At 39.4% G+C, this 10298-nt stretch overlaps 1 protein-coding gene across 1 annotated transcript, besides 2 other annotated features; it reads left to right on the top strand.

Annotated features, from left to right (window-relative positions):
• Positions 8491–9691, top strand: IFNW1 (interferon omega 1). The gene has a single exon (NM_002177.3). It carries the CDS (start codon positions 8753–8755, stop codon positions 9338–9340), a length of 588 nt encoding a protein of 195 aa, NP_002168.1. The 5' UTR covers positions 8491–8752; the 3' UTR covers positions 9341–9691.
• Positions 8537–8586: an enhancer, noted in NCBI's record as "active region_28234". NCBI's record gives its function as "activates an Ori minimal core promoter by ATAC-STARR-seq in GM12878 lymphoblastoid cells {active_cell/tissue: GM12878}" and the evidence as "EXISTENCE:reporter gene assay evidence [ECO:0000049][PMID:35858748]".
• Positions 8677–8816: an enhancer, noted in NCBI's record as "active region_28233". NCBI's record gives its function as "activates an Ori minimal core promoter by ATAC-STARR-seq in GM12878 lymphoblastoid cells {active_cell/tissue: GM12878}" and the evidence as "EXISTENCE:reporter gene assay evidence [ECO:0000049][PMID:35858748]".
• Positions 9692–10298: the final 607 nt, after the last annotated feature.

Raw genomic sequence — 10298 nt, 5'->3', positions numbered from 1 at the left:
AAAGTCAATATTCCTCTGATGTCATTTCTAAAAGACACAGACTCTAGGTTCTAGGTCATGAAGGATTTGATTGTCCTAAGTTGGTGGATCACGAAAAACTTCTGAAAGACAGAGAGAGAACCAAGATGGCCAACTAGATACAGCCAGGAAGAACTTCTCTCACCAAGAAAGACCAGATCATCAAGTAGACTGGCACATTTTAAACAGATCTTTGGAAAGAAGGCATGAAGAGTGGACGGAGGGATGATGCAGACCCAGGGCTGAAAGGGGAGGGAGTTGGGAACCCTGCATGAGGTTGCCAAGCTCCAGGACTCATTCCTGACTTGGAGCAGCTTCTGGGGAAGGGGTGAGTAAAATAGGCATACAGTGAGCCATTCTTGTCACAGACCTCTGGAACCCTAGCTTCAGGAGACCCCATAACCCCCACAGACATTTGAGATGGCAGGGATAGCTACCTGGAGAGTTGAAAAAGACAGAACTCCAGCCTGCGTGGAGCCGAGGGTTTGTGTAGGAAGAGGTGCAATGGAGCACAGCTCATTCCCCAAGGCTCACATGCTCCTCTAGGTGGCTTTAGCCTTTTTTGGCTGCTGGACCTGAATGGAACAGGGCTATCTTTCCCATGGGATGGGCCAGTCCAATATGAGCACCCCACGCTCTGCCAGCCTATCCCAGGGACACTGCCTGTCTACACCCACTTTCAGCATGGCCTCTGCTGCCAAGCCGAGGCACTTGCCAGTGGGCACTGCCTTAGTTCTTTCACCAACAGACCCTACCTAATAGTCAGAGAACTGCAAGTGGGCCCCTGCTGGCAAGCACCCACCCACAGCCCTCCCCAACCAGGGCTCACTCACTGTAGACTTTCCCTGCTGCTTTTCCAGCGTGTCATACATGGGGGCCCCTGCTGCCCACCACCTCCCCTATGAAGTATTTTTGGCAGCACCCCTCATTGGAGTGCTGTTGCCAGCATACAAGGAACACCTTGGCCCCTCCAGCATATCAAATGCTTAACCTTGAGGGACCACAGAAAAAAAGCCATAGTCCTGATCCCAGTACCCCCACACCCCAGCATTAAAACATGAAGTTCAGGAGTGCTGAGCTGAAACTTGTACCCCTGAAATCATCCAGAAATGAAACCAATCAACTAAACCCAACTTATACCATAGTCAAACTCTCAAGAGCTTCAAAGAATGTAAAATTTTAAAACCCCACCCAAAGGACAGCAGCTTCAAAGATTAAAGGAATATCAACCTATACAGATGAGAAAGAATCAGCACAAGAACTCAGGCACTTCTGGAAACCAGAGTGTCTTCTTACCTCCAAATGACCACACTAGCTTCCCAGCAGTGGTTCTTAATTGATGGCTAGAATGACAGACATAGAATTCAGAATCTGTATGGAAATGAAGACCATTGATATTCAATAGAAAGTTGAAATCCAATCCAAGGAATATAAAGAATCCAATAAAATAATACAAGAGCTGAAAGATGAAATAGCCATTTCAAAAAAGAAACAGCTGATCTTCTAAAGCTGAAAAACTCTTACAAGAATTATATAACACAATCAGAAGTATTAACAGCAGAATAGACTAAGCTGAGGAAGGAATCTCAGAGCTTGAAGACTCAGAGCTTCCCCAACCTTTCTAAAGAAGTTGACATACAAATTGAGGAAATTCAGAGAACCCCAGCAAGAAACTATACAAAATTAACATACCAAAGACACATAGTCATCAGATTCTTTGACATTAACATGGAAGAAAAAATATTGAAGAAAGCTAGAGAGGAGGGGCAGGTCACCTATAAAGGGAACCCCATCAGGCTAACAACATACCTTTCAGCAGAAACCTTACAAGCCAGAAGAGATTGCGGGCCTATATTCAGCATCCTTAAAGAAAAGAAATTCCAACCAAGAATTTTATATCCAGCCAAACTAAGCTTCCTTAGCAAAGGAGAAATAAAATCCTTTTCAGATAAACAAATGCTAAAGAAATTTGTTACCACCAGACCTTCCTTACAAGAGGTCCTTAAGGAAGTATTTAACATGGAAATGAAAGACTATTACCAGCCACCACAAAAACACACTTAAGTACCTAGCCCACTGACACTATAAACCAACTGCAGCCCAACTCTATATAACAGCAGGCTAACAACACAATGACAGGATCAAATCCTCACATGTCAATATTAACCTTGAATGTAAATGGGTTAAATGCCCCCATTTAAAAGACCGAGTAGCAAGATGGATAAAGAAGCAATATCCAAATGTATGCTGTCATCAAGAAACCCATCTCACATGCAATGATATCCACAGATTCAAAGTAAAGAGATGGAGAAAGATCTATCAAACAAACAGAAAAAAAAAAGAGAGTAAAGGTTATTATTCTTATTTCAAATAAAACAGACATTAAACCAGTATAATCAACAAGAACAAAAAATGGCATTACATAAAGAGCTCGATTTAACAAGAAGACTTACTACCCTAAATATATATGCACCCAAAACTAGAGTGCCCAGATTCATAAGTTTTTAGAGACCTACAAAGAGACTTAGATAACTACACAATAATAGCAAAAGACTTCCAAACCCCACTGACAGTGTTAGACAGATCAACAAGGCAGAAAACTAACAAATATATTTGAGACCTAAATGCAACACTTGATCAAATGTACCTAACAGATATCTACAGAACACTCCACCCAACAACAGCAGAGTACACATTCTCGTCTGCACATAGTGCATACTCTAAGGTCAACCACGTGCTTGTCCATAAAGCAATTCTCAACAAAATAAAAAAAAAATCATACCAAGCACACTCCTGGACCATGGTGCAATAATAATTGAAATTAATACCAAGAAGCTCTCTCAGAACCATGTAACTACATGGAAATGAGACAGCCTATTCCTGGATGACTTTCAGGTAAACAAAGAAATTAAGGCAAAAATCAAGAAATTCTTGGAAACTAATGAAAACAAAGATACAACCCTTCAGAATCTCTGGGGCACAGCTAAATCAGTATTAGGAGTAAAATTAATAGCATTAAATGGCTACATCAAAAAGTCAGAAAGATCCCAAATTAGCAAGCTAACATCACACCAAAAAGAACTAGGAAAACAAGAGTAGAACAACTCCAAAGCTTGCAGAAGAAAAGAAATAACCAAAATCAGAGTTCAACTGAAAGAAATTGAGATGTGAAAATCTATACAAAAAAGAAACGAAAACAAAGGTTTGATTTTTGAAAGAATAAATAAGGTTGACATACTGCTAGCTAAATTAATGAAGAGAAAAAGAGAGAAGATCCAAATAAACACAGATATGACAAAAGTGATGTTACACCAACCTCACAGAAATACAAAAAACTTCAGAGAGTGTTTTGAACACTTCTATGAACACAAACTAGAAAACCTAGAATAAATGGATACATTCCTGGAAACATTTAACCTCCAAAGATTGAATCAAGAAGAAATTGAATACTCGAACATACCCATAATAAGTCGTGAAATTGAATCAATACTAAAAAACAAACAAACAAACAAAGAAAAAACTTACCAACAATAAAAAGCCCTGCATCAGATGGATTCACAGCCAAATTCTACTGGACAAAAAAAGAAGAATGGATACCAATCCTATTGAAACTATTCCAAAAAATGCCTTGATCATTTTATCCATTAATGGTGATTATTATTTTATTTTACTTTGTTTTAGAGATAGGGTCTCACTCTGTCACCCATGCTGGAATGCAGTGGGAGGATCATAGCTCACTATAATCTCCAGCTTCTGGGCTCAAGCGATCTTCCCACTTCAGCCTTCGGAGTAGCTGGAACTACAGGTGCATACCACAATGCCCAGCTAATTATTTTTGTATGTACAATGTCTTGCTATGTTGCTCAGGCTGGTCTTGAACTCCTGCCTTGGCCTCCCAAAGCACTGAGATTATAGGGAAGAGCCACCATATCCAGCCAATGGTGATTTTTTTGACAAGTTTCTTTCAATCCTGTCATTGTATTTTAGGATTTTTTAAATATGATGAGGTTAGAAAAATAAAGACATCTATACTAAGTACTGTGGTGGAGTTTGGGGTTAAAACAAGATTATCCCTGGTAAGTATCCCTTCACTGCTTCATAGAAAGTACATATAGTCTGCCCTCTGGCTCATACAATAGGTTCTTTTTGGCACTGGACACTCAACCATTGTCTGGTAAGATTAGGAGGAGAAGAAATTCCTAATTGGAATCTATCAGTAGACAAAATAAAGTCTGGCCTGGAGGTGAGTTGTCCCTTTCAGGAATAAAAACAGCAGGCTGACCTGAAGGAAGTGTCCTGGAGAATCAATGACATCCTCAGGGAGAAACTCAGAGCCCATATGGCTGGGCTATTGTTAGACTAAAAATTGTTAGGTGCTTCCTGTTTATTCTTAAAATGACAAAAGAAAATCTCAAGAGTCAAATGTAAAAAGGCTTCTAAGTGTTTGCAGTTGATGAGTCAATAAAGGTTTTACTGTATTTCAGTGAATAAATTACTCATTAAATCTTGGCCCTTTTTTACAATTGGCAGAAAAATCTACTCACTTTTAACTATTTAAAAGGTCTACTTTTACTTAGGACTTAAAATTAGTTCAACTTACTCACAACATACCCCCGTTGCTCTGTCTACAAAGTAATAGATGGCAACACATTGGCATGTGACGTGGAACTCTGAATCCCTTGTCATCTCACCCGTCCTGCTCACCTGACTTCATGCCCTGGCCTCTCCTTGGTTTATAAATTCTCTACTCATATCCACCCTCCACTTCCATTGATAGAGTCTTCCAGATAAGCCACTATATTGACTCCCCCTAAAGGTTTGACCTTAAATCACTGGTGTTTTCGGAATAGCTCATCTCTCCAGATACATATTTCTCTCCAGAAAGTTGTATAAATGAGTGGAATCTAAATATGGTTATTGAAAAGATTGAGTTAATCTTTTCAAATATCTTTGAACAGAGGCTGGTCTTAGTCAACATGCAACAAATTCCAATGTTATCATTTTTAGTATCATCGTCATCATCATTATCCAGATAAAGAGCGGAATCTTTGCGATTATCCAGTTCTCTTTATTTTTTACACTGAGTTTCTCAAAGCACTCTTTTCCTTGCCTAGGTAGATTTATTAACTTGGTAGAGTGCTCAGGCAAGGCTAATATCTATTATCCTGCCAGAGGAGGCTGCTTGTTCTAGTAATTGGGGACTGGTTGACAATCTCTTGTGAGCCAGTTGGCATCATGCTTCCCTTCCTTCCTCAGAACTGATCCTATGTATATTAAATGAAAAAAGAGCAAATGTCTGGTCTTGCAAAGCTAAGAGCAATTCATTGACCCAGGACTTGGCCTTCTCTGTGCCTCTAGCAGAAACAGCCATTTCCCTGCCTTTGTGTACCTCAACATTGGGCTCATTCTTCCCCTCTGCCAGAACCCCTAGTCATCGATTTTGCTGCATTTTATTTTGCTAACTTATACTTGGCCATTTTATGAGCAGAAAGCCACTTCCCTTCTTTCACTTTCATGACATTCAGACTTATATTTTCTGTTTTCTTTCTTGCCCCAAAACAACTATCAAGTTTTGCTTTCTAAGAAAGCTGAAATGAAAAAGAAAAAAATCTGAATTCATGTAAATTATAGATCAAAATAGCATGGTTCCTTTGCCTTTCTTTTACTTCCTTTAATTTGTGTTATTTTGTCATAAACTGGAATGTAATGCAGAAGCAGCAAGACAAACCTTACCCAGTAAACCACTATGTAAAAATAAGGTACAAAATTTTAAAATAAAACAATCACAAATAAGTAAATTAAGGAAGGCTCTTTCTCCCTGACAGAAAAGCAAGGGTCTAACCTCCCTGCACTGTCAGAGTGAGTCAGAGATAGAGGAGGAAAGAACCCTTAGAATTGCAATGACTGGATGAGCAGCTGAAGACCACTAGTTTCTGTAATATAAGCTTCTTTTTTTATTATTATTATACTTGAAGTTTTAGGGTACATGTGCACAACGTGCAGGTTTGTTACATATGTATACATGTGCCATGTTGGTGTGCTGCACCCATTAACTCGCCATTTAACATTAGGTACATCTCCTAATGCTATCCCTCCCCCCTCCCCCCACCCTACAACAGGCCCTGGTGTGCTTCCTTACACCTTATACTAAAATTAATTCAAGATGGATTAAAGACTTAAATGTTAGACCTAAAACCATAAAAACCCTAGAAGAAAACCTAGGCAATACCATTCAGGACATAGGCAGGGGCAAGGACTTCATGTCTAAAACACCAAAAGCAATGGCAACAAAAGCCAAAATTGACAAATGGGATCTAATTAAACTAAAGAGCTTCTGCACAGCAAAAGAAACTACCATCAGAGTGAACAGGCAACCTACAGAATGGGAGAAAATTTTTGCAATCTACTCATATGACAAAGGGCTAATATCCAGAATCTACAATGAACTCAAACAAAGTTACAAGAAAAAAACAAACAACCCCATCAAAAAGTGGGCGAAGGATATGAACAGACACTTCTCAAAAGAAGACATTTATGCAGCCAAAAGACACATGAAAAAATGCTCATCATCACTGGCCATCAGAGAAATGCAAATCAAAACCACAATGAGATACCATCTCACACCAGTTAGAATGGCGATCATCAACAAGTCAGGAAACAACAGGTGCTGGAGAGGATGTGGAGAAACAGGAACACTTTTACACTGTTGGTGGGACTGTAAACTAGTTCGACCATTGTGGAAGTCAGCGTGGCGATTCCTCAGGGATCTAGAACTAGAAATACCATTTGACCCAGCCATCCCATTACTGGGTATATACCCAAAGGATTACAAATCATGCTGCTATAAAGACACATGCACACGTATGTTTATTGCGGGACTATTCACAATAGCAAAGACTTGGAACCAACCCAAATGTCCAACAACGATAGACTGGATCTAGAAAATTTGGCACATATAAGCTTCTAATGAAAGACAACATCATCATTGATCCCCTGTGCCCACCTGAGAAACACTGAGGATAACAAATGTTCAATAGCTTACGTAAAAGAATTGAACAATAAAAACCGTGTCAGGATTCCGAGCTGGGATACTGACACAGCCAGTGGAGCACTATTGACCTCAGTAAGCAAATGGTGGAAAATTATTTGACTAATGAAGGTAAAATGATTATAATTGGGTAATCCTTCCACCTTCCTTAGACAAAAGAAACCTTTGCTATCAGTACCTGAGGGCTGTCGAAACTTTTGATACCTGGACACATGGGTCAGGAGGAAAGGAGGTCGCCACTGAGAGCCAGGGTCCTCCAGACAAACACTCTAGGGGCACCGGCAAGGGTCTTGGAGGGTTAGTTGCTTTGCTCACAAAGTAACCACTACCCTCTCACCAAAAGAGTTCTGAAGTTATCAGGATGTTGTGAGACTGCTCCCTGGGAGCGAGTCTGGAAGAGTTTGGGTTGAGAGTATTTGTTACTCTAGAGGAAAAGGTATTACTAGATGTGATAACTACCTTGTGTGTGAGGAGACGCTGGGAAAGTAAAATATCTGCGAATTAGAATCTCTACATCCATATGCGCTTGTAAAGAATCAGGATTCCAGCTGGGATATTGACAGATAGGGGAGCACTATTGACCTCAGTAAGCAAATGATGGAAAGAAAAAGCAGTGTCTATATTAATCTTCACCTTGTGGTCCCAGTGAAGCGTAACCACATGGACCTGCATGAATGTTTTCTAGAAGGAAGAAAAATGTCAGAGAAGCTCATTCGCTAATCATCATCATCCTCTGTTGTGAATAAAACAGCAAACAAAACTGCGTTTTTGGCTCATATCTGTAATTCCAACTACTTGGGAGGCTGAGGCAGGAGGCCTCAGCTTCAGGCCAGGAGTTTGAGACCAGCCTGAACAACATAGTGGGACCTCATCTCTAACAACAACAACAACAAAAAAATTAGCCAGGCATGATGGTGCACACCTGTTGTCCCAGGTACTCAGGGGGCTGAGGCACAGAGATTGCTTGAGCCCAGGAGTTAAAGGCTGCAGTGACCTCTGATCATGCCACCACACTCCAACCTGGGTGACGGATTAAGACCCCATCTCTAAAAAACAAACAAACAACAGCAAAATGCTGTTCTTGGTTCTAAAGAGCTTATTTGCTGCAGATGATCTGGTAAACCTGAAGCAAATATAGAAACCTATAGGGCCTGACTTCCTACATAAAGTAAGGAGGGTAAAAATGGAGGCTAGAATAAGGGTTAAAATTTTGCTTCTAGAACAGAGAAAATGATTTTTTTCATATATATATGAATATATATTATATATACACATATATACATATATTCACTATAGTGTGTATACATAAATATATAATATATATATTGTTAGTGTAGTGTGTGTCTGATTATTTACATGCATATAGTATATACACTTATGACTTTAGTACCCAGACGTTTTTCATTTGATTAAGCATTCATTTGTATTGACACAGCTGAAGTTTACTGGAGTTTAGCTGAAGTCTAATGCAAAATTAATAGATTGTTGTCATCCTCTTAAGGTCATAGGGAGAACACACAAATGAAAACAGTAAAAGAAACTGAAAGTACAGAGAAATGTTCAGAAAATGAAAACCATGTGTTTCCTATTAAAAGCCATGCATACAAGCAATGTCTTCAGAAAACCTAGGGTCCAAGGTTAAGCCATATCCCAGCTCAGTAAAGCCAGGAGCATCCTCATTTCCCAATGGCCCTCCTGTTCCCTCTACTGGCAGCCCTAGTGATGACCAGCTATAGCCCTGTTGGATCTCTGGGCTGTGATCTGCCTCAGAACCATGGCCTACTTAGCAGGAACACCTTGGTGCTTCTGCACCAAATGAGGAGAATCTCCCCTTTCTTGTGTCTCAAGGACAGAAGAGACTTCAGGTTCCCCCAGGAGATGGTAAAAGGGAGCCAGTTGCAGAAGGCCCATGTCATGTCTGTCCTCCATGAGATGCTGCAGCAGATCTTCAGCCTCTTCCACACAGAGCGCTCCTCTGCTGCCTGGAACATGACCCTCCTAGACCAACTCCACACTGGACTTCATCAGCAACTGCAACACCTGGAGACCTGCTTGCTGCAGGTAGTGGGAGAAGGAGAATCTGCTGGGGCAATTAGCAGCCCTGCACTGACCTTGAGGAGGTACTTCCAGGGAATCCGTGTCTACCTGAAAGAGAAGAAATACAGCGACTGTGCCTGGGAAGTTGTCAGAATGGAAATCATGAAATCCTTGTTCTTATCAACAAACATGCAAGAAAGACTGAGAAGTAAAGATAGAGACCTGGGCTCATCTTGAAATGATTCTCATTGATTAATTTGCCATATAACACTTGCACATGTGACTCTGGTCAATTCAAAAGACTCTTATTTCGGCTTTAATCACAGAATTGACTGAATTAGTTCTGCAAATACTTTGTCGGTATATTAAGCCAGTATATGTTAAAAAGACTTAGGTTCAGGGGCATCAGTCCCTAAGATGTTATTTATTTTTACTCATTTATTTATTCTTACATTTTATCATATTTATACTATTTATATTCTTATATAACAAATGTTTGCCTTTACATTGTATTAAGATAACAAAACATGTTCAGCTTTCCATTTGGTTAAATATTGTATTTTGTTATTTATTAAATTATTTTCAAACAAAACTTCTTGAAGTTATTTATTCGAAAACCAAAATCCAAACACTAGTTTTCTGAACCAAATCAAGGAATGGACGGTAATATACACTTACCTATTCATTCATTCCATTTACATAATATGTATAAAGTGAGTATCAAAGTGGCATATTTTGGAATTGATGTCAAGCAATGCAGGTGTACTCATTGCATGACTGTATCAAAATATCTCATGTAACCAATAAATATATACACTTACTATGTACCCACAAAAATTAAAAAGTTATTTTAAAAAAGAAATACAGGTGAATAAACACAGTTTCTTTCCGTGTTGAAGAGCTTTCATTCTTACAGGAAAAGAAACAGTAAAGATGTACCAATTTCGCTTATATGAAACACTACAAAGATAAGTAAAAGAAAATGATGTTCTCATACTAGAAGCTTTAGGTGCAAATGATGTTGAGAAAGAAAAATATTAGATGTCCTTTTTGAGGTGCCTGGGAGACATGAAATTGCAGAAATCTTATGCGCAATTGGGAATATGGGTCTAGAGTGAACAACAAATCCCATGGGCAAAGGTATTAATTTAAGATTCTTTATTGCATGTCTGGTAACAAGGACATAGGAATGAAT

The sequence above is a fragment of the Homo sapiens genome, chromosome 9, assembly GCF_000001405.40.
Source record: "Homo sapiens chromosome 9, GRCh38.p14 Primary Assembly".
In the NCBI taxonomy this organism is placed as follows: domain Eukaryota; kingdom Metazoa; phylum Chordata; class Mammalia; order Primates; family Hominidae; genus Homo; species Homo sapiens.
Note: the sequence above shows the minus strand (reverse complement) of the source record. Positions and strands in the feature narration are given on the sequence as shown.